General features: G+C 35.3%; 1 protein-coding gene across 7 annotated transcripts in view; it reads left to right on the plus strand.

Annotated features, from left to right (window-relative positions):
• The window catches only part of FMR1 (fragile X messenger ribonucleoprotein 1), a 39,207-nt gene that overhangs the window by 4,049 nt on the left and 9,721 nt on the right, over positions 1–25,437 (plus strand). For 4 of the 7 annotated variants that reach the window (NR_033700.2, NM_001185076.2, NM_001185082.2 and 1 more), the window contains exons 2-12: positions 5,966–6,018; positions 9,573–9,666; positions 12,355–12,426; positions 12,692–12,840; positions 13,981–14,074; positions 14,161–14,277; positions 16,458–16,628; positions 16,718–16,796; positions 20,537–20,646; positions 21,499–21,633; positions 24,609–24,695. Coding sequence is in view for 5 of the 7 variants with exons in the window: in NM_001185076.2 (NP_001172005.1) it covers positions 5,966–6,018; positions 9,573–9,666; positions 12,355–12,426; positions 12,692–12,840; positions 13,981–14,074; positions 14,161–14,277; positions 16,458–16,628; positions 16,718–16,796; positions 20,537–20,646; positions 21,499–21,633; positions 24,609–24,695 (1,161 nt within the window). In the remaining 2 variants the exon portion in view is untranslated. Of the gene's footprint in view, positions 1–5,965; positions 6,019–9,572; positions 9,667–12,354; positions 12,427–12,691; positions 12,841–13,980; positions 14,075–14,160; positions 14,278–16,457; positions 16,629–16,717; positions 16,797–20,536; positions 20,647–21,498; positions 21,634–22,131; positions 22,195–24,608; positions 24,696–25,437 lie in introns of all 7 variants that reach the window. The other 3 variants (NR_033699.2, NM_002024.6, NM_001185075.2) reach the window with 1 other exon arrangement.

The following is a 25,437-nucleotide window of genomic DNA, read 5'->3' on the forward strand; positions in this document are numbered from 1 at the left end:
ACTGCCTTAGCATCCTATAACTATAGTTACAGTGTTATATTACCATTTTTTATTGTTAATACAAAGCCATCATGAAATAATTCAGTTTATGTGCCAGCTTTTTTTGTTACTAATTCTTGAACCTTGGCGCTGTACTTCTTCATGTGGATGCCTGTTAAGGAAAGATAAAGTTAGAAATCTTTGACCCTGCTAGGAAATTTGTCTTTGTTATATTGGGAGCTCATAAAACTGAAGTATTCAAAAGTTAGAATACATACACACAAGAAAAATTAGTAACTAATTTAATAATGTTTTCTTTGCACATGTCTCTGTTGTCTTTTGGTCAGAGTGAAGCTAAATGTGTTTTTCACATAATTTGTAGCCTATATGAAGTCCTGGACATGTGGTATGGTTGGAAGGACTGTTGATGAGGTTTATTGTCTCTCTTTATTCTTTTATGTTGTTAGTGTCCCCATACAACGGGGCGGGGGGAGTGGGGACAAAATGATAACTTGCTTTATATATGAAGCCTTGGGTTTGAATCATACTGTTATCACATTTCCTATGTCCCTATCCTGTCTCCTGCAGGTTTTCTTTCTTGGTTTTCTTTTTTGGTTTTCTTTCTTCCTTTCTTCCTTTCTTTTCCTTTCTTTCCTTTCTTCCTTTTTTCTTTCCTTTTCTTTTTTCCTTTCTTTCCTTCATTTCTCTCCTTTGCTCCTTTAGTTTGTTTCTTTGTTTCTTTGGTTTGTTTCTTTGTTTCTTTGGTTTGTTTCTTTGTTTCTTTAGTTTGTTTCTTTGTTTCTTTGTTTCTTTCAACAGGTCTCACTGTCGCCCAGGTTGGAGTGCAGTGGTGGGATCTCAGCTCACTGCAACCTCCACCTCTCGGGTTCAAGCCAGTCTCATGCTTCAGCCTTCCGGGTAGCTGAGATTACAGGCATGTGCCACCATTCCTGGCTATTTTTTGCATTTTTAGTAGAGATGAGGTTTCGCCATGTTGGCCAGGCTGATCTCAAGTTATCTGCCTGCCTCAGCCCTCCAAAGTGCTGGAATTACAGGCATGAGACACCGGGTCCAGCTTCCAGCAGGTTTTCTTTAGGAGGGATATTTTACAATGCTGTAAGTTTTTCCTAACGAGAATTATCATAGCACTACATGTTCTGTCTTCAGTAAGTGATACAAGCTTACTGATGATGTTGTAGTTATGTTCATTGGTGGTCGGGTGTACATTGAAACTTTAACACATAATAGCCTCTCCTGTGAGCAGTGGTTCCTGTTGGTAAGATACTTTACTAAGGGAAGGAATGTGAGGTGTCGCTGGGGAGAGTTTACCCAAATAAGGATGGACTTTCTGTCTTTGTTTCATCAGTCCTGGTAATAGAATGTTTGAATAGATAGCTCTAGGCATTACATACTTTCATAAATATGATTATTGTAATTACCTCTTTGGCCCAGTTGCTAGTAAATTAGGGACCCCTTAATGATTTATTTCCTGTTTATTCACCCTGATGAAGAACTTGTATCTCTTTTAAACTGTACTTTATCGCCTTTCTCAAATTCCAAGATTCTCATCACATTTTTTTTCTTCCCAAACTCTAAATAACCTTTTAATATTAAGTATCTTTGTGGAAACATTGTTTTCTTTTTCTATCCCAATTTTTAAAGCTTTTTTAAAAAAAAGAGTGCTTTTGTTGGGATGTACATTTTCCAAATGCAAAAACATTTATGATTCTGTGTCTCTTATAAAATATGACACTCTCTACTTTTCTCTCATTTATTTAGTGCCACCTATGTGTGTAATTTCATTACCCACAGCAGTCTTAGGAGGCTGGTCGAGTTCCTTATTTGCAGATGAGGAATCTGAGGTCCAGAGATCACTTCTTGGTGAGAGTCTCACAGCTATTAAGTATTAGAGCCAAGATTTTGAACGTAGGTCTGATTCACAGCAAAACCGTTAACCACTAAGTACACTGACTCCAGTAAGAGCCCTAGTCCTCACCCAATACACTTTAATTCCCCTGTGCATTCATTCAAATTCATTGAATTTGCTGCCTTTGGAAACCTCTCAGGAACCTCCTCAACCTCTCTTCTCTACAGACATCAGCTTTGCCTGATAGGTAGGGATCATAGCAAAACACAGTTTTCCAAGGTGGTGATAGGTGGAGTGATAGTGCTCTGGAGATGGCCAAAGAAGGAAGGTATGAGTGTATCTGTGGGTGGGTGAGTGGTGGATAAGGGGAAGGACAGAGCCAAAAGCGACGGCTATTGGAAAAACTATGATGAGAAACAGGAAGATGGAACCTTGTTGGAATTAGTGAAAGACCTTAGAATTCACAGGAGGTATTTGTCCTTCACGCGAGTGTAGACCAAACGTAACCTATGAGTTTCTTTTATTCCACTTATTAAAGCAGCAACCAAAGGTATTATATACCTTCTGTATTCACTTAAAATGACTGATTTTGAAAAAGTCATGCAAACATCCATTTACAGATAAGCCTCATTAACTCAAAGGCAGTGGCCCTGTTGGGCTCTGATGATTACTCAAACCATTTCTGACACTCTGACACTACATCCGGAAATCATCCGGAAATGCATTCAGAGCCTGCAAAAGCTTTTTTTTTTTTTTTTTTTTTTTTTGAATAGCTACAGCACTTGCAGATCTTCCTCCTTTGAGAGAATATTTGATTTTAGGAAATAAGCAAATGTAGATAAGTATGATTCAACTGGGCAATAACTTTTAGGCAAAGAGAAAAAAACAAAATATAGCAATGTAGTAATAAGGCTGATATTATAGTGCTTTTATGATGAGTCTGAAAACAGTCTCCAACATTTGTAAATGTTTTAAATCGGGTCTGTCTACTACAGTAGCCCTTAAGCCATATGTAGCTATTGAGCACTTGACATGTTGCAAGAGTGAATTGGAGACTGATTTTAATTTTATTTAATTTTAATGTAAGTAGTCGCACATGACCCGTGGCTACTATGGTAGATGGCATAGTTTTAGACAAGGGCAGTAGTCTTGGGTAGATACTTGATTTACTTAGAACATTTCTTTACCTAGCTGTAACAAGGTTCTAATAGCTGATTAAAGGACAACATTTTTAGCATGTAATATACAGTAAGGAACTAATGTTAATTACTGCCAAGATGTATAAACATTATGAAACCTTAAACAAGGATGAACACAGAAGCAGTGGCCCTTCTTTGTAAATAAGGGGTCAGTTACTTCCTAATAGGTGTCTTAGTTTTAGTTAATAATCTAATAGCACCCCCAAAAAGCAAACTGTTAATTTGTTATTAGCCATCCTGTAAAGACAAGGGAGAAATCGGGGCCAGGAGAGTCCTCTTTCCCATTCTCCATAATTTTTACGACCTATAGAAATAAGAGCCTAAGAGTGACCAGTTCCTGCAACCTAACTCAAAATTAGGCCTCTCTGTTGAAGTAATAGTGAGGCAAACAATCCCTTGAAGCACTGGGGCATGCACCCTTATGAAATCTAATAATTCTAAAATATCATTGGCAGTATTAAGCTAGAGTTCTCAAAATATGCTGTAGAAAATATTGGTCATTTAAATATAGCTGAGTAAAAATAAGCAAGATCAAAATGATAAGAAAATGTTGATTTCTCCCCTTTTGAACCAGTAACTAACTATAAGGGTATATACCCATGCTTAACTTAAAAATAATTATTTAGCCACCTTGGGTATAGCACAACATATGGATGCCATTATAGTCCACCTTGATCTTACAAGGAAGCTTTCTTTTAGCGTAGCTTTACTTTTATTTAAGCATTATTGAAGAAGCTTGGTATCTCTGTTTAAGTTGCTTCTGTATCAGTGTTTTCCAGGGCCCTGTCTCAGCTTCCATAGTTTTTCTTAAGAGCAGCTAATTAATGCTTCACTCCATATGCTTTAATTTGATATTTTGGGAAGTTTCATTTTTTAAAATAATCTTTTTATATCATAGGCCTTTGAAGACATATTTGTTTACAAAGACATCTGCATTGAACCATTTGTTTTTAAAAACATGTATCGGGCATGTTCTATATACCAGAAACTATGCCATTTACTGAGGACACCGAAGTTAGAGAATGGTCTTAATCCGAACTAGTTATTGTCTCACTATCCAATATGGATATCAAACATTCAGCGTCATGAGGATTTACTACTGTGTTTTCTCCCAAGAGTTTTATAATTTTAGCTCTTATATTTAGGTCTTTGATGCATATTCATTGATTTTTTTTTGTATGCAGTATGAGGTAAAGGTTGAAACGTATTCTTTTTGCATGTGGGTGTCCACTTGTCCCAGCTTCATTTTTTGAAAACACTATACTTTCCCCATTGAATTGTCTTGGCTTCTTTGTTGACAAAGGATTTATTATTTCTGCCACAACCCAGCTGTTTCTCACTGTCTAAACCTTTATGCCTGCTGCCCCGTAGGCTTAGTGGAATGCCTCTCCATCCTCCACTCTCTTTTGTTTAGCTAGTACTTCCTTATCCTTTAAGGGGTCAGTAGGAACCTCACCTTCTTCAGTATGTTTTCCTTTGTCTTATCAACCTACCACCATCACCCACACACATACCTTTTCCCTAAGGCTGGGATAGGAACCTCTTAGGCAATGATCTATTTGATAAGTACTCACTGAGTTCATACTAGACACTCTGCAGTATATCCGTAAATGAAGTAAAACCTGACACCACCCTCAGAAAACTTACTGTTAGTGAGAAAATGGGCTATAATAATAGAGTGGGGTAAGTTTATTGTAGGGATAAGCATAGGATGCTATGAGAATGCAGAGGACAGGAATTTAACCTAGACTTCTCAGTTCTCCCGTTGAAGTTGACATCTGAACTGAAATCTGGAAGACCAGTAAGAGATAGCTATGTAAAAAGAGGGGAAGGACAATAGGAAAGAAGGAATGGAGAGAGGCCCAGAAACTACAGAGTATGGCACAAGTAGTTTAGCATTGTTGGGTCACAAATTCTAAGGATATGAAAGATAAAGTTGAAGAAGTGGTGGGGCTGGGGAGGACAGCTCCTGTAGAGCCTTTTACAGCGGGAGAAGGAGTTTGGCTATGGTCCTGCAGGCAGGGAGAAACCACTGAAGGGGAGAAACATACAGAATAAATTTGAGTAAGAAGCTTAAATCTCCCCAAGCCCTTTTAAAATAAATTAAGATATAAAGCCTTTGGGTTTCTTTATGCTTTGTCCTATTCTTCTAATTGTCCAAAACAAAACAAAAACCTTCCTTTTCTGTACCTATTAAAAGGTTAATTTTATAAAGTTACAGACAGCATGCTGATTAAAGAATTCTTGATAATTAGCTATTTTGTCTGTCTTTGTGTAGATTACTAACAATTGTGTCATCAGATTTAAAAGATCTAAACCTCTGGACTTTATATATTTTTTCTACAAGTACTGTGAGATTGAGAACTTAATTCAACTCTAGTAACTGGACTTTTTAGTGTTGTTTGCAGCATATGATTGTTAAAGAAAGTTTAGTATATTTGTGTGTGCGTATATATATATATATAGATAGATAGATAGATTTGAGGTTATATTTAATCATTGACTATTGGTATTCTAAGATTTTAAGGAGAGAAAGGTAGGTTACAATATATGGCTGATATATGGTTCTGGAACAATTTTCTTAGTTTTCAGTAATTCTACCTAAAATGTACGTCCAGCTTTGCACTCACTACCACATTGTAATTTCCAGTATACTTGTCTATTTTTCGAGATGTTGAAATCTGTGGAGAATTTTTTCTCATGTTTAGTGTTTTAGCTATGTTTATCTCTAGGGTATAGCACATACAAGGTGGCAATATAGATGTGCTTAATGAATAAAATGATCTTCAAAAACTGACCTTCATTTGAAGTTCTATTTTATTCATAAACACATAAAACGTTTGGTATCACTGTAAAATTTAACTAAAAACAAAAACTATCTTTAAGCTCACAAGTTAATTTAACGTTTTTTCTTACACAGGCATTTGTAAAGGATGTTCATGAAGATTCAATAACAGTTGCATTTGAAAACAAGTAAGTGTCTCGTTATATAATTTTAATGATGAGGTTCTTTAATATTTTATGCTAATTCTACTCTTCATTTTTTAAAAATTCAAGTCCAGTTTGAGTGCTTTTCAGGAATGGATCTTCATGTTACTGACTGAGAAGTTTCTGAACAACTCAGTATTAAACTAATGGAATGACTGTTTCTGCTAATGTCCTGGAGGTCCCTTATTGTATGGTATTGATCCTTACGTCTTAATTCCCTTGAATGTGAAGAAAGAAACCAGAGAGTCTTGTGTATTAGTAACTGGAAGTTCGCATAGGAGTATTTGTAAATTTTAAAAAGATAGTAATGAAAAGATTCATGGGTATTGCTAAAAAGTTGTATGTGAGTTCTTTAACATTAAATCTAAAACTGATGGTTTTAGTTGTCTAGTATATTTTATGGAAACAGTCATGTTTACCTATTATCTGATTTTTTTTAATGTTTCATATGTTCAGCAATAGCAGTAGCTGATCTTTTCTGTTCTCTTTTGCTAGATGAAGAAATAAAAACAGTCATAGGCCTAGGAATATTAACTGTATGAAAGCATCAATAGTATAGATGTTAACATTTTATTGGAGAACACAAGTCTCTTGACTAAATGTTTTGAATGCTAATAAAGGCTATTTTCAGGGTAGCTGTTGGTAAGATTGTAAAGTACATATAAACTCCTTAGTCAAAGTGTAGATGTGGCTATGATCTTAGGATTTTACTAAACTCTGATGGATGGTTAACAGTTATCATTTTTTTGGCTCTTATATACCAAGAAAATTAATAATATATCAAAAGCAGGCTGCAAATCTATAGAGACAGAAAGTAGATTAGTGATTGCTTGTGCTGGGGCTGGTGGGGAGAACATAGCTAAAGAGTACAGGATTTTTGTGTGTGTGGCAATGAAAATGTTGTAAAATTGACTGGTAATTATTGCACATAACTGTAAACCTTCTATAAACCATTGAATTGTACATTTAAATTGATGAATTATAATGATATGTGGATTATGTCTGCTAAAATGTAGTATGTGACCCAGGCATACTGAGCAATAAATACACACATCTTGCTTCTAAAGTTTAAAACCAGGCCTGTGTTTCAGTGTCTAGAAAATATATTTCATAATTGAACTTAGCAGATTCTTTTGGCTAGCAACAGGACAAAGTAGTATCCTTAGATGCCTGAAACACGTGTAGGGGGACAGAGATAAAAGGATTAAAAGCATCTAACCCTATTTCTGGCTCTGGACTAATAATCGCAGACCAAAATACAAGTTTGAATAGTAGAATACCTTTCCCTGAATACATAAAGCCAAAAGTTTTAGTATTTGTCTCTTCGCTGTTTCATATATCCATGGCTATGCAATAGACAACAGCATCACACCAACAGAGGAATCTTTGATAACTTGGAGGGTATTTTTTTCTTACAATTATACACTTTATCTACTTACTTACATCACTAGGTAAATGCTGTTTCCCATAAAGGGAGAGTTGTCTTTATTTGCTACTCTTTTAGTTTTTCCTGTAGTCTATAATCTAAAGTGTTAAGCAAACACTCATTTCCTCTATGCATTTAAGAATTTGTCTAGTTTATACATTGATTTATTAGATCACTTCTTTTTAATTTTCAATCAGATTTCTACCATAAACTTAAAATTATTTCATCTTTGGACCTTCCAATTATTTATCTCCTGTACCATATCTGCATGAAAGTTTCTCTTCAAGCTCTTTGTCATCCTGGGAGTTTGAAATAGATCATTGATTTTTCCTTGTGTTCATGGAGTATGTTTGCAATACAACACTGGGTTTGAGCACATCAATAGGATTTAATAGGTCTCCACCAAAGTAATCTCTTTGCCCTTCCTTGTGTGTTTCCTTTTTGGTTTTCTGTTAGAAACAAAACGAAAACAGTGTTTTGTAAAACACCAGATTGTATTTACCCTTTCTTTCCTTTCAATCAGGAAGAAGCTCCTGTTACTGATAGCAGATTGTTTTAGGTGCTTTGTTTTTAGGTGCTTCCTAAACCTTCCATAAAGCATAAAGGTGTTTTCATATTTCACATTTTTTAATAAGGAATTTGAATTTTTATCTGTATACACTTAAAATCATTATTTTTTCCTTGGAACCATTGAGTTATATATTATTATATGCTTTAAAATCAAATTTAGCAATGAATGTATAACATCTATTAGGTGTGTATAATAACTCAGAGGAGGGTTCAGTTAATTTAGGCCCTAATCAGATTTCCACAAATTCTGACTTAATATTTGCCCGCTTATATAACAGCTCTTCTTTAACAAAAACAAGTACTTTTCTCAATAGAATTTTACTAAGAAAGCTCTTTAGTAAAACATCGACATTATACATACAACATATCTCAGTATCTGCTGATGAAGAACACCAAAAAGAACCCAGATGTGACTGCTCCGGAAGTTGAATCCTCAGTATTTTTGCAAAGTTTGTCTTTCAGTATTTTATTTGTGTGTGTGTGTGTGTGTGTGTGTGTGTGTGTCTATATATATATATATTTTTTTTTTTTTAAAGACAGGATCTCACTCTGTCACCTAGGCTGGAGTGCAGTGGCATGATCATGGCTCACTGTAACCTTGAACTCCTGAGCTTGAGCTATCCTCCCACCTCAGCCTCCCGAGTAGCTGGGACTATAGGCACATACCACTGCACCTAATTTTTTTTTTTTTTTAATAATTTGTTGTAAAGATCAGGTCTTACCTTGTTGCCCAGGCTGCTCTTGAAGTCCTGGCCTGAAGCAGTGCTCCCACCTCAGCCTCCCAAAGCTCTGGGATTATAGGCTTGAGCCACCGCATCCTAATATTTTATATTTTTATGGATATAAAAAATAATTTGGTATCTTTCAGAGTTGTTTAATATCATTTTAAATTTAAAAACATAGGCAACTTAAACTCCTATAGGCTGTCTCCATCGGGTTTCTGTGGTTTAGGAGACCCCACCATCCCAGTGCATGCTGATAACGTCATACTGATCAGCATCCAGCTACCCACAGCAAGAATTGACCACCTCGTGGGATCTAAAATTTAAAGGGGGAAAAGTGAGTTGTGAATTGCTAATGTGCTGATAGCCCCATTTTGCTTGGGAATTAGAGGGCAGTTTTTGTGGTCCTTGGAATGTGGTTAAAATTCTTCTGCAAGTGGAAGCATATTTATATTACTAACAATTACTGGTACTAATATTCAAATATTGAAGGAAATTTCTGTTGTGGACTTATGTTTAAAGCTCTTAGAAGTTGAAATTATTGGAAAGAAGACTTGTTTTGAAAATCATAATGTTGCTGTATTGTGTTTAGAGAAATATTCCAAACGGGAGTAGGCTGCTGTGCTGCATGCAGACTTTGCTGAAATGTTACTATATTGCCGTTATGTCCCACTCAGCAAAAACTGATGATTTTAAAGCTTTTGCTTCTTGAAACTAGAAAAAGAGGGGTCAGCCTTAACCAAAAGTTGATGGCAGAGTGGTCATTATTTCAGTTAAACATGAAAAGCATGTTAAATAATTGTATGTTTGCTTATTTACAGCTGGCAGCCTGATAGGCAGATTCCATTTCATGATGTCAGATTCCCACCTCCTGTAGGTTATAATAAAGATATAAATGAAAGTGATGAAGTTGAGGTGAGTTTTCCCTGCCATAAAGTCATTTAGCACTGAAAGAGTGGGGTTAATTTATCTGTGTTTTTTTTTAATACTTTGTCTTTAACACTGTTTAAATTACTTTGAGAATTACAGCTGGAATGGACACGTGCTTTTGACTAACTCATCTTATTAATAATTCAAAATGATACATGATGCTTACATTTGGCTATTTGAGCAGTACTCAGAGCATGTATTTGAAAGTCACTGCCGCAAGTTCCTTTGCCCACTAGTAATTCTTTTCTCCTTCTCTCAATTTCTGAATCTTTGAATAGTATGTTGTTTGTTTACAACTGTGTCCCCATTGTAAGCAAAATGGATTATGAAAATTAATTTTACACAGGAAAGAAATCATGCTTTATTACAAAATAGTATACTAGAATTTCTTTAAGTAGCAGTGAATCTTCTTGGTATATTTTTAAAAACCTACAAGCTTTAGTTTATACATATTGGTAAAATCTCTTTTTCACAGGTTATACCGTGAACTACCTGCTTATCTCCCGTTGAGCTCTTTGACCAAAATGTGCTATGGAGATCTAACATGTGAACAGAAATGTTGTGTTTGTGATTTCTTTCTCCATTAGAAATTGGTTTTGTATTTAAGGCGCTTACAGTGCCTCATATAGTTTGTGTGGTATCTTCTCTCCTTTGTATCCTTTCACATACTCCATTTTGAGCTGCTTCTCTTCTTTTTCTACAATAATAAGCATAATGCCTTACTATTAGTTAATAATAGTTGCCGTTCCATGAATATTTGTAGTATGAAGGATGTCGCTAAGTAGACATTTGTGCAGGTGAGGCAGAGTGGTTCTAGGTCCTGTCCTTCAGTTCTTTATTTATTTATTTATTTATTTTTTGAGATGGAGTCTCACTCTTGTCATCCAGGAGTGCAATGGCGCGATCTTGGCTCCCTGCAACCTCCGCCTCCCGGGTTCTAGCGATTCTTCTGCCTCAGCCTCCTGAGTAGCTGGGATTACAGTCGCCCACCACCACGCCCAGATAATTTTTATATTTTTAGTAGAGACGGGGTTTCACCATGTTGGTCAGGCTAGTCTCGAACTCCTGACCTCAGGTGATCCACTCGCCTCGGCCTCCCAAAGTGCTGGGATTACAGATGTGAGCCACCATGCCCAGCTGGTCCTTGAATTCTTATTTGCTGCACTAGGTAGTAAAGGTGTAGCAAAAACAGGACAGAATCTTCTGCCTTTGATGAAATCACATTCCAGTAAGGATAGCTAATATGACAGATGTGAGTCTTAAAGAAAAAAAAAGGGAGAGGATGAAAGGTGATTTAGGGACAGGATTGCTGTTTCAGAGAGTAGTCAGGGAAGATCTCTCAATGTCCAGGCCTGTGTTTTTCTCTCTACAGTTTTAAAGTGGACATAGGATATAGTGTTATTTATTTTCCAAAAATGTAACCAATCTCTACTAGGTGTAAGCAGCTGGGCTTGGTTTTGCAAGGGATCTTAATAGGGAACAGAAACACTGTGTATGCTTAGCTGTCCACTTCCCCAGAAGACTGTAAGCTCTCTGAAGGCAAGACCCAGGTCTTTGGTCTGTATTAGGAGTACCCAGAATAGTGTTTGATGGAGGGATGAAAGGGACTTTTTCTCCCCAGCTTGGTCACTTGACAGATCGGGACCAATGAGATACCATTGCTAGGATGACCTCACTGTCTTACACACCGATTCGTTGAGGTAATTTCTCTGGCTAGAGTAGTTGAGAAAGATGGAAGCAAGAGGGAAAGGTATGTTAAGTTGTATTCAGTCACTGTATTGTGTGATCATTAACTTTGGTTGTAAAAGGGAGACAAGTTCGAGCTTTTACTCTACTTGTCAGCCCTAGACTTTGTACCTCTCTTGGCCTCATGTCTTTATCCCCCTTGTCTTTCTTATTTCTCTTTTCTGCTTCTGAGTATCCCTGTCTCTCTGTCCATATATACTCTGTTGTCTCTTTTCCTATTAACCTTGATTTGCTAGGGTCTTCATGAAAGGTTCCATGCTGTACATCTTAAGTGAACTTTGAAGTGGTCATCAAAGAGATCAGTTAGAAGAACTGATCTGCAGTGTGTGACAGACCAGGAAAGTGATATCCAGAGGATTGCCACCATGAAGTTGTCATTTTTAGTGGAGAGGAAGCAGGAGACCAGAAAGTGACCAAGGATCTGTCCATTTAGTTCCAGGAGATATGACTGCCAGAGTGGTATCCTTAGTGGGCTGAATGTTCAGTGGTCTTACTTTAGTGACCAAGCAACAAGACAGTAGGGCATGGTCAGTAACTTTCAGTCAATTTTTGCTTACTAGGATAAAGCAAAAATAAGCTTATACATTTTTAGATACATTTTTTGTAACTTGCTGAGTACCCAAGGAAAGTGTGCTTGTATTTATGGGCGTCTATTTTCAGAGCACTAATTATTGCTGAATTAGAACAGAAATATAGGAAAACTGATTTTTACAAGGAGCTTCAAAGCAATCTCAGGTAGTTTCTGATTATGTATCTCTGCCTACCTCGGGGTACATAGACAGGGTTACAATTTGGTTGAGGATATATGACATGTGGTTTTTAAAGACACCTAGGGGCATTTTAAGAAAATTTCCTCGATATCTGAAAATCTGTAGATTTCAAAATTATGTTAATCATGAAATATTCTGTGTTGTAATTTTTGTGTAGGTGTATTCCAGAGCAAATGAAAAAGAGCCTTGCTGTTGGTGGTTAGCTAAAGTGAGGATGATAAAGGGTGAGGTAGGAAAATGCCTATTTAAATTTTTTTCTTATATTGTTTCCTTTTTTTAAACCCAGGTTGTACATTCCCGTGTGGATTTCTATTTTGAAGTAATATCTAATTTTGAGTAATTTAATTAAAATGTTTTCACTATGTGTTCAGTATGTTTCTGTTGGTCATAAATTTTTTCACATAGATTATTTATTTTAAAATAACTGAATAGGGAGAACTTCTTATTCTTACTTTAAAAATTGTGATTAGAAGTGACTTTTATTTATTTCTCAGTTTTATGTGATAGAATATGCAGCATGTGATGCAACTTACAATGAAATTGTCACAATTGAACGTCTAAGATCTGTTAATCCCAACAAACCTGCCACAAAAGATACTTTCCATAAGATCAAGCTGGATGTGCCAGAAGACTTACGGCAAATGTAAGTTGATACACAAGAAATGCTGAGAACTTGGAAGTGATATGCAATTAGTTTAGAAGAATTTCTAGTAGTTTAAAATTTTTTAAACTACTAGAAATTGATTTTAAATTTGGTGGACTTTGGCAAAAATGGTTTGGTTTGCAAGAGCAATGGAGAAAAAACTTATTTAACTTTTCCTACTTATAGAATCAAGGCAGCCTTGCGCTTGTTTAAACTTACTTGGCTATACACGTGTCTGATGTACATAATGTACATTTGTTTTCTAAACTAACTTTGTTCATTCTAAGATTTAAAAACTGATCAAACAAATGTGATAATTCTGTCATAAGTCACAAACTATAAACGATTTCTCCGTTTTTTTCTCTTTTACCTAAAATGTTTTCAGATAAATGTGTAATAAGTAGAGCCAAAGAAGCTTTAAAAAGTCATCTCATCTTACAATCCTTGATCTGGAATAATGCTTAAAGACTATAGAAGAGACGCATTTTTATTTTTTACAGATTTTATTAAGTGAATACAGTACGTTTGATTTGGACATGTTGTTGAACATTAAATTGCAGTTCAGAATACATAGAAATCCTCCCTTTTCTAGAGATTGTGTATGTGTGTAAATTTTTGTGCCTTCTGGTTCATGTACGTTTCCTTCTCTCCCTCAAATCGTTTAGCAGTTTCTTACCCCATTCTCCGTGATGTGCTTATTTCATATTGCATGCCTGTATCAAAACATCTCATATGCCCCATAAATATATATACCTACTATGTACCCACAAAACTAAAAATTAAAAAAAAAGGAAAAAAAAAGGCCTGCAACAAGAGAAGAAGAAAGAAATCAGATACCCTGTAGGTAGCTATCTCCAAAAGTTTTCAATAGTTGACTTAAGAAAACTACTGACTTGTATGTAACTGAAATCAGGAAACCTGTAGTGTAGAGTGGTTCCCCTGAATATGTCTCTTTTGGTAATCTAAGCTGTATTTCAGAAATGTACAGAAAAGGAGCTAAGCTTCTAAATGGATATAGCATATTTTGCATAAATCAAATTTAATATGAATCCATGATTCTTGTATGTGTAAATCTGCCTGCATTTATTTATGTCAGTAGTTGGTAATTATTCATCTTAATTTTTTTTTTTAAATTTCTAGGTGTGCCAAAGAGGCGGCACATAAGGATTTTAAAAAGGCAGTTGGTGCCTTTTCTGTAACTTATGATCCAGAAAATTATCAGCTTGTCATTTTGGTGAGCATTTTTGAGTTGTTTATTTTTAGTTTAATTCATCTGGGGCAATTGCCTTGATAATAATGTTGTTAATTTAAATCATTTAGTCCATCAATGAAGTCACCTCAAAGCGAGCACATATGCTGATTGACATGCACTTTCGGAGTCTGCGCACTAAGTTGTCTCTGATAATGAGAAATGAAGAAGCTAGTAAGCAGCTGGAGGTATGTCACTTTCCCTAGCACTGCTTGTAAGGGTACCTAGGAACGATTAACTGTATCATTCCACAACTTGAATATGGGGAGCTTGTCATTTATTTACTGCTTCTTAACAATTCCTTAGGTTCTATAGTTGGAAAATTGTACAAAGCATAATCATACTAAAGTTTCCATGCCTGAGGTTTCAAAATTAAACAGCAGCTTATGTATATTAAGGGACTTCTGGTACTTTCACTTTTACTAGAAGTTTATCAAAGTTGCTAATAAAATGCGGCAATGCTTCTTCCATATAACATGTTGTCATTAAAAATACTAGAGAATATTTAAATATCTAATCATATTCCTCTCATTATGTATGTTTATCTTTGTTTAAAAGGGTATAGAACTTCTTCATTCTAATTGGTTGTCATTCTTTAAAACTCCTGTCTTCAGATTCCCGCCAGAGGCTATTTCCCTAACTTACTATTTTGTCTCTTAAGGTGCATTTTATCTACTTTTATTAATCCTCCAATAATTTTCATCACCATATATTTGTTTTCATTGATAACTATCAAGTACGTCCATCCATTACTATAGAAACTAAGTGGATCTTAGATGAATGTGCCAGCTCTACTATATTCCTGTCAAATTCCAGAGTTCGTCATCATTATTCATTAGAAGGAAAACACCACACATTTGAAATAGTAAAGAAAAAAAGGAGTTCCAAACTGCATTTTAGGAGAAAAGGTAGTCAAGACTGTGTTCTTATAAAAACCCTGTGAAATTTGCCACCTGTCAACTTGATGTATGATGCTGAACTCTTAGCAGAAGGGGAAAAGTTTAATCTCCTTTTGCCACTTTGTTTTTTCTTAAGGCCATGGAGGTCTGTTTAATTGGTCTTTGCTCTCATTCTTTCTTGATGTCCCTGTGTTCATGATTTTGTGGTTCCTTCAGTGATTCTCTCATAACTTTTAGCCCAGAGCTGCCTCCTTACTTTGATTGTGAGTATTATGAAAATATACTCATATGCCTCTTAAACATCGAATTATTCTTAAATGATCTATCATACTTTTGGCTAACCATTTATCAGTGAATTATCAATGAAAAAGAACGAACCAGATTAATGAACCAGGACTCAAAAAACATGACTTCTTGAAAAGTCCTAGAATTATTTTATAGATTTTATTACTCTAGTCTAAAAAAAATGGGTATTGCACTTTTAAATTATTTATGCTAGTTGTATTCATTCATTCAAATTATCAGGTCTGTTGAACAATGAGAAACTAGTATGCATGCCTATCTTTCTTCACTACTAATATTAAAGAGATTTACATGTTCCTATAAGAAATTCCCATTTTTCAACATGAGCCACTAATACGTTTGGTTTTCATTAATGGCATGCTAGAACTGAACACTAAATTTTGATAATGGTATTTAAAGACAGTGGTTATCCACAAGTTTGGGATGTCAGTGTAACTTAGTTTCGTCATCACTGGATATTTACAAGTGCTCATCATAATTGTGGATCCAGATCACAAGGTCTTACGGACTCTGGTCTCATGTTAGCTTTCAGATGCTTACTAAGTTTTTAATTTTTGACATTTTTTGATTATTCAGTTTAACTACTGTACCAACAATTTTTGATTCCTTAGGTTTTGAGGGAGGTGTCATTTTAATGTCATTTCAACAGAGGAATGTTTAGACCACAGTACCTAATGATGTTATAAAAAATGGCACTGTTTCCAGAAAATATATACTGATACCTTTTAATAAAAATGAAGCGAATAAAATTTTCTATAAAGATGATATTTAAACATTTTTTTACCTAAATAAGTAACATTGAGTTTGTCAGACCGAGTGAGCTGGTTTTTACTGGGGAACATTTGACCTGCTTCTTAGTTATTATATTGCTGATGTCATTGGTTAACTAAGGCAGCCTTGTGATAAGTTTTCAGCAGTTACCTTGGAAAATGTCAACAAGTTCTTTCCTATTAACAAAAACATATAAAATGTCATAGACCTTTAGTAACCTAAAAAGTACTTAGGCTGTGAGAGGTATTTTCTAAAACCTGTTAGTTTTAACCTAAAACTATTAATAATTTATGGACCCCTCATATACAGGGTCAAGATAATTTACATGGCTGGCCTAAATACAGTTGTCGTAATAGTTGATAAAGTGTATTCATCAGACGTCCATTTCTCTTCAGAGTTCAAGGCAGCTTGCCTCGAGATTTCATGAACAGTTTATCGTAAGAGAAGATCTGATGGGTCTAGCTATTGGTACTCATGGTGCTAATATTCAGCAAGCTAGAAAAGTACCTGGGGTCACTGCTATTGATCTAGATGAAGATACCTGCACATTTCATATTTATGGAGAGGTAAATATTTTACTGCATAGTTTTTTTTTCCCCAAACAAGTATTTCAGCTGGCTAATCTTTTGTCTTAAAATGTTTCCCCTTTTATTAGGATCAGGATGCAGTGAAAAAAGCTAGAAGCTTTCTCGAATTTGCTGAAGATGTAATACAAGTTCCAAGGAACTTAGTAGGTAAGTCAGAAGTATCTGTTGACATATAGTACAACAACTAAGTTTAGGTAAACAGTTTATTTATAGTGATAGAATTCCATTTTTTCTTACTGGAGGGTATCATTTAATTGAAACATAGTCTTTGAAATATGATCTGTTCTTTTTTTTTATTATTTAAGTTTTAGGGTACATGTGCACAATGTGCAGGTTAGTTACATATGTATACACGTGACATGCTGGTGCGCTGCACCCACTAACTTGTCATCTAGCATTAGGTATATCTCCCAACGCTATCCCTCCCCCCTCCCCCCACCCCACAACAGTCCCCAGAGTGTGATGTTCCCCTTCCTGTGTCCATGTGTTCTCATTGTTCAATCGATCTGTTCTTACAGCATACAAAAAAATATTTGTTAAGTATGATGCTCAAAGGTTACATTTTCAGAAGGTATTCAAAAGAGATTGCTTTTCTAGTTCAAACCTACTAATACCTGAAAGGATAAATCTTGCCCAGCCCTCCTGACTGTATACCTTTTATATCTTAAAATTAAATAATTTTTCAAAATGAATGATATTTGGGGACTTTATGATTTGAAATAGATTTGTATTTGATCTTTCTTATGGGACTATAAAATGATAGCATTCATTTTAATTATCTCAGGGTTGAAGATCTGAACATAGGTTACTTAAATCTAAAAAGTTCCAAAGCTAGAAGAAACTTCAGATGTCTCTGGGACTTTCTGCAAAGTCAATAGTAATTCTTCATTTTGACTTGAGTAGTGTTTTATCACCATCACCATCGTGAGTATCAGCAAATATTTAGGAGCTCTTCACCAATACTCCTAAATGCTGCAGATATCTTTAGTAGAACATATCAAAACCAGGTGCAGTTTTATCAAGAAAGCTACATATGTTTTTAATTTGTAAATAAAATTGGGACATACTGCCTATATGTTTTTTATCTTTTAAACTTGAGATCATGGCCATTTTATATAAAGTAATACATGTTCTTTGGAAACTTTAAAGAAGAAAGCAAGGACTTCTCATACATTCTGTTTACGTAGTTTCAATGCTAATTTAGCCTGCTTTTTTGTCAGCATAGACTCATAAACATCTTCCTTGTCATTAACAAACACTAGAAATGATAAATGTATCTCCCAAAGAAAATTAGCTTGAAGATAAAGTGCAAATAGTAGGAAAATAATGCAGAAGTGTTAGCTCAACTGTGTACTACAGACAACTGGAGAAATGTGTTTGTAATGTTACTAAGGTAACTTGCATACCAATTGTATGTGTACAGAATGTATGCATAGCGCAAGATAAAGTGCTAATCTCAAGACAGTTGGGTGATGAATAATATTTATTTTCTTCTTTACAGCTTGTCAAGCAATTGCATACCTTTTGTAGTTAGAAAGGTTATTGTAAATTTAGGAATTCTTATGGAAAAAGAGCTGGTAGTTGTTTTGTTTTTTTTTTTTAATAGCAAATGAGTAGAGAATTATGTGTCAGATTCATTAAAGTTGGTTTTGAAGATGGCATGATGGTAGTGGGGAAAGTGCTTGGGCATTGGAGTTGGATCTGGATTTCAGTCCTACTTTATTCTTTGGTGGCAATGTGAGCGTGGGTCACTGTCTTAGCCCCCCTGAGAATTATTTTTCTTACCTATCAAATGTGATAATAGGATCCACCTCATAGAGTTGATGTGATAATTAAATTGGAAGATATAGTAGGGGACAATTCTGGACACAGTAGGGGACTCTGTTCTTCACCTTATTCAAAACAACTCCATTTCAGTAGAACAGAATCACAGTAAATTGCTCTTTGGGATTTGGAAATAAGTGTAATGTAGAATTGGATTATTTGCTATTAAATATTAAAAGTAGATTCTACCTGTGGTTACCTGGAAAGAAGAGGATCTCAGAAATAACCAGAAAGACTGCTAAAAGTAAATCAGCCTTGTTTTTGTTTTGTTGTTTCTAGTTAGTAAAATGAGATAATTCTGTTTTAGAGATGGTCCACTGCAACACTGGGAACGTTGGAACTTTTCAGAAAGCATTTTTGTGTAAGATTCTGCAAGGCAGATCTTTAGAGAGGTGTCATAATCAGTTTTGCATGTGTTTTGTTTGAGTCAACCAACGTTATTTGTGATCTCTATTTTTCACAAACTCTCTTTGGTATGTGCACTAATTTATCTTTTCATTAAAATTGGATTCTTCACTCACTAAGAATGAATTGGTATGACTATTCAGTCAGCTATAGTTAACACACAGTACTTAGGATAATTAAGATATTATCTTAATAAAAACATCCCCAAATCTCATTTTTCATTTTGTTAACTCACTTAGATCTTTATTAAAGTCAACATTAATTCATGAAAATGTAAGTGTTGCAGTTTAAAATCAAACTGTGTGAAGACTCCAAGTAGCTTCTCTCACCTCACCTTTCCCCTTTTCGTTATAGAAGAACAGAAATAATTGACAGAAGGACCTAGACCAAGAATCCTGATTTAATGGTGTCAGATCTGTTCTATGACCAGTCAAAGAGTTTCTAGGGGTGAATGAGGCAGCCACACACAGCAAGAATGTCAAAGCTATGCTCTGATTACAAGAGCCACAAGAATTTTTTGTGAGAAGGCTTTTCACTGAGTTCTTATCTAGCATTGGCTCAAAGCAAATTTTTGCTTCCATCTTTTCCCCCAACTTTGCCTTGAGCTTTGCCTTTAAAGGCGAAAAGGAAAAAATGGAAGATGAGATGGTGAGGGCAAGCACATGGTGGATGTGGCCAATGTAAGGGTACTTAGGTACCTTGGGTGAGCCCTCAGAATCAGATGTAGTTCACATGTACATTTCCAGAATTAGTAATTCTTAAGTTTGTAATGTCTTGCTTTACCACTCGTGTCATGATGCAAATGAAAGCAGTCATTTTCCAGTAATGTATATGATTGTAAAATAAATAAGGAAATGATCAAGTACCTATTTTTTACTGGTACTTGAAATCCCAAGTTTTAATAGATGTTACTGAAAAATACTTAAATTGGTTTAAAGCTTTTTCATTGTGGTTTTGAGTTATCTTAAAGTGGGTTTTCTTAATCTTTTACTCTGTGACTAATCCCTTCACTTTTTAATACATTGCTAAAGTTTGTAAGTAATGCACAGGAGTGATACTCTGTTAACACATTGACCTTGAAGAATTTGTATTCCTTTTGGATGTATGTATAGCTGCTTAAGCCACTTTCAGACTTAGATTATCTTTTATAAATGTGCCTTCCATACAGAATTCTGAAAATATTTACCATGGACAAAGAAGCAGATTTAAATCAGGTACAGACAAGAATTGAAAGTGTTGAATAAGTGAATATATTTCCCATTCTCTCTACTTTTTTCTTAATTCTTATAGAACTTTGCAGAAAGAATGATACATACCACAGTACCAGCAAGTTTAAAGCGTACCCTTTTGTGCAAAAATAAGAGGTTATCTTTGAACTGCCTTAAAAATCCAAAATTACCCTATCAGTTTGCAAGTATTAATCAACTCTGGTACCTGACCAAAGGAGTTTAAACAATGATGTCCTAATTAAACAGAAAACCAGATTAACCATCTTGTTGAAAAGAGTCTCTACTTTGGTTTTGAAATCTTACAATTCAATACATACACATACACATAAAAATATCTATCTATATGAATGTAATAGTTTACAGTAGGGCTGTGCTTACTGCTTTGAGGTATGTGTTTTTAAAACCAAACTTGATTTATTTATTTCTTAGGCAAAGTAATAGGAAAAAATGGAAAGCTGATTCAGGAGATTGTGGACAAGTCAGGAGTTGTGAGGGTGAGGATTGAGGCTGAAAATGAGAAAAATGTTCCACAAGAAGAGGTATGTTACAGTGCGAATATTTTGTGGCACATATAATAAAAGTAAAAGTTTTTTATGTGATATGTTGAGGACCTCTAATATGTGCATAAAGTGAATGCAAATATTCTGATTATCAAGCATGCCTGCTGTAATTAATGTTATAATTGTAGATAATGGCCCTTCTCTGTCCTCTAATGCAGTGAGTTTGGATTAGTCACTTTATTGAATTCTTTTTTCCTGATCTTTAAAATGGGTAGTTATAAATTTTTAAATATGAGACATACATCACTGGGTCGAGTGTTAATGGCAATTTAATAAAATAATATATATGTAAATGCTTCGTAAAGCACTTTGTAAATGTTAATGTTGCTGACAAAAGCAAAATTGGAACACAGGTTTTCTGGCTTTCATCTTTTCACTTTTTTAGTGTGGGGATTGTGTAGTATGTGTGTTTATTCTGTGTGCTTTAAATTTATTTCTGTGCTTAATATCTCTTCCCCATCCTCCTTACCTTTAAATTCTGTAACCCTTTTATCTTCATAAATATATGCTTTTTGTAGCAGCTTTTAAAGTATTTGCATGGGGTAGAGAGGTGAGGATGCACCTTTCTGTGCAATAGTACTCTTAAGATACTGTCTCATCAAAGAGCCGTAATTTTCACATATTGTCTAGCTTTCTTTTTGAAAGATTCTTTTAGCTAAAGTTAAATCTTTTTTTTCTGCGTACAATTTGTATTCGGTAATTTTATAAACCAAAACTGTTTATAATAACTTACATTTTTTAAAAATATGATGATTGATAACACTAATAGAGCTAAATAAAGTCTTAAATTGGTCCTTTTTTTCTCTTTTGTGTTTTCTGTTTTTTACCAAGGAAATTATGCCACCAAATTCCCTTCCTTCCAATAATTCAAGGGTTGGACCTAATGCCCCAGAAGAAAAAAAACATTTAGATATAAAGGAAAACAGCACCCATTTTTCTCAACCTAACAGTACAAAAGTCCAGAGGGTAAGAATTACTTGTCACTTTGAATTACAATACAAGTAATTTGTCTCAGATGTCACAATTGGTATTTTGGATGTTTTCTCTGGTTAGACTTGTAGGCTACTTATGTTCTATTTTTTTTCCAAATGTAATTGCCAGCTTATGAGATACTACAAATTAGTGTGATACATACTTTTCAATTTATTCACAGTAACAACTCTTATGCCATAAACACAAAATAATGGGGTTGCATTTAGTGGTCACATTTTTCTTTTGACAGTGGACTCTCTTTTTTCCATGCCTTCTCTCTTTAAATTTTGCAGGTATCGTAGCTCAAAATACACCTTCTGTTAGTTGCATTAGTTACTACTTGAACCATATTTTAGAAACTAATTTTCTCTGTTTGAACTAATCTGTTTAGAAATGGGTTTAAAAGTCCTGCAGTGAAAGTCCTGCGTTCAGGCTTCTGTGTATCGTTTGTTATAGTTAATGACATCCCTTGCATTCCTTATACTGCTTTAGGTGTTAGTGGCTTCATCAGTTGTAGCAGGGGAATCCCAGAAACCTGAACTCAAGGCTTGGCAGGTAGGAAAACATTCCTTGAGAAATACACTTTCAGTTTATATTTTAATGTTTATTCCCCTTGTTAACAAAGATTACAAATGATCCTCAGGATTAGGGACTGGAGGGAGGAGTGTTTGTGGGTATGTGGATCCATTGCCCTGGAGTTAAAGCTTAAACACCTTCATGCCGCTTGTAAGGCTTTTCCTAATTACTTGTCTAGTTATCATCTTTAAATTATCTTCTCCCTTGCACTCTAGAGAACCTTAAGCCATACTGAAGTACTTTGAGTTCTCTGAACATTCTCGTGCTTATTTTGCTTCTAGACATATGTACAGGTTTACTCTGCCTGGAATGCTTTTTCTCCTCCACATGTCACCTCATTTTGACCTTATTCCTTACAAAGCTTTCCTTGTGTACTTGCCGAAGATCCCCACCCCCTTGACTGGTTCAAGAGCCTTCCCCTTCTGTTTTGCAATGTGCTCACCCCTAGCATAGCACTTAAACATAGATGTTTATTTGTTGATCTCCTCAACCACATTGTAAGTTCTTTGAGGGCAGGGAGAGCTGGTGAGAACTGTTTATGGAAAAAAATGTTGTGGACTCATGGATTAAAAGCAAAGGTGCCATTTTACAAAGAGGACTATAACGGCAAGTGGATTGGATATGTCTCATTGCCGGGCAGCCCATTATTCCAGAACACAGAGTAACTTTTTTCTGGGGTCCGTACTAAAGGCCATCATTCCATTCTTGCCTTTCTTCATTTTAATTTACTATTCAGGTCTACTCGTGAAGTGCTTAAATTAGAGTGGCCCTTGGGGTACTCCAGCAGTTTAGACATGTTGCAAGAAAAGATATTCGTAAATAATTTGCTCCGAAGTCAATCTAACTAAATCTGTTACATAGGATTTTAAAGCTATTTTGGTGATATTTGACCCAGAGGGAAGGGTGTAGCATTCATTCCATCACATGGTATTTTGGGAAATAATACAGTTAAAGGCTTTTGTAACAAATAAAGCTTGTTGGAGAAAAACCCAACATGCAGAAATGAATTGCCAGTTATTAATTTGCACAATTGTTTCTAGGTTTCCCTATAACTTGTGACAAGAAGTAGTTGTTTTTTTTTTCCCTCTTAATATATATATATATGGGCTAGGAGTACAGACATTTAGCATATGCCTTTTAAAAATCTGTTCTTATGTTAAGTAGTGTCCATAGAGAGAAGTTCAAACTTTCCTTGTGATTCAGCCTTTTAAAATTTTCAGAGTACATTATTGAAATGTGTATGGGCTTGATAAAACTTAATGCTTGTCAATGTACCTATTTTTTTGTCTCACAGATTATTCAGTGCATTTTTATCCTGATGTTTTTGTTTGTATTTTGTGTGTACTCTATTTACTTGGTTAGCAGAAATGATTTACTTTTTACTTTTGTACCCTTGGTATTTCATTTTGATTTTTTTTTTAAGAATTTGATCGGCCAGGCGCGATGGCTCATGCCTGTAGTCCCGACACTTTGGGAGGCCAAGGCAGGCAGATCGCCTGAGCCCAGGAATTCGAGACCAGCCTGGGCAATGTGGCGAAACCCCGTCTCTACAGAAAGTACAAAAATTTAGCTGGGTATGATGGCATGCACGTGTTGTCCCAGCTATCCAGGAGGCTGAGGTGGGAGGAACACCTAGGGCCTGGGGAGGTCGAGGCTACAGCGAGCCATTATCATGCCACTGCACTCCAGCCTGGATAACAGAATAAAAAGACCCTGTCTCAAAAAAAAAAAAAAAAAAAGAGGCGGAGGCGGGCGGATCACGAGGTCAGGAGATCGAGACCATCCCAGCTAAAACAGTGAAACCCTGTCTCTACTAAAAAAACAAAACATTAGCCGGGCGTAGTGGCGGGTGCCTGTAGTCCCAGCTACTTGGGAGGCTGAGGCAGGAGAATGGCGTGAACCCGGGAGGTGGAGCTTGCAGTGAGCCGAGATCCCGCCACTGCACTCCAGCCTGGGCGACAGAGCGAGACTCCGTCTCAAAAAAAAAAAAAAAAAAACAAAAAAGAAAAAAAAAAAAGAAAAAATTTTGATCAGGATAAAGCCTTTCATAAATGAATTAGAGCATCTTATACTACTCATTTTGTTTATACATCTCATGGTAAAGCTTGTATAATTTTGAATTATACATTTTGTGATTTTGCTGATACTGAATACTAGTCTTTATAATAATCTGATACGTTTAAAAGGTTGCTATTGATCTATTCGTATTCACAGTAGATGTGTAAAGTAGTATATCAACTACTTTTGTTTTCATATATTGATTTATATTTACAGCAAACATTTGTATACCTGCTGTTCACCAGATCCTGTGCTAGGGAATTAGTCGTTATTTGCATTTTTCAGATTAATCTATCATTACTTTTATAGGATCATTGTTGCAATTTCTTTTTCAGGGTATGGTACCATTTGTTTTTGTGGGAACAAAGGACAGCATCGCTAATGCCACTGTTCTTTTGGATTATCACCTGAACTATTTAAAGGTGAGAACAGAAAGAACTTTAACTTCTAATCCTTTTGTACTAAAATATACAAACTTTATAGTAGATCTTTCAGCAGTTAGGACTCATTCTAGCCTGTGCAAAACACTGTATGACTTGTCAAAGGTAATAGAGAAAATACGTTGTTTGGCTTATAATTTTTTTAAAAATGGAAGTCTTTATAAATTTAAGTACCAATATACCAGTTTTCAATAAAATTTTATACTTCCCTTTATTCTTCTCTTAAACCCTTACACTCAGTTTAGGCAATCCTGTACATAGCCTGTTAATCCATTTGATCCTTTCTAGCATTTTGGTTTTTTCCAGACAAAAATCTGTGTCTATAACTCTTGCCTTTATTGTTCCTTTTATGTCATTTATCAAGGAAATCTAAGCATTTCATGAAGTTCTTTGTTTAAATGTTTACCCTATTTTTCTCTTTACTGTTATTCAAAATACAAACTATTTGTGTCTTCTCATAAATGTTCAGTTTAGTTAGTGTGATGCGGTTATGCCTCCTTAAAATTTCAAACTGGAAGATAGGAACGAGGAGGCTACAAGGTGTAGTGGAGCAAGCACTGGATGGGCAATGCAGCAATTTACTTATAAGACTTCAGCAAATGAACTAGCTGTGTGACTTTAGGCAAGTCACTTCCCTACACTAGATGCTTCTTGAAATTCCTTTTGGCCAAAATGTTCTATACTTTAATGAAATGGAAACTGATCTACTTCATTTTCATAATGT

Source organism: Homo sapiens, chromosome X (assembly GCF_000001405.40).
Source record: "Homo sapiens chromosome X, GRCh38.p14 Primary Assembly".
Taxonomy (NCBI): Eukaryota; Metazoa; Chordata; class Mammalia; order Primates; family Hominidae; genus Homo; species Homo sapiens.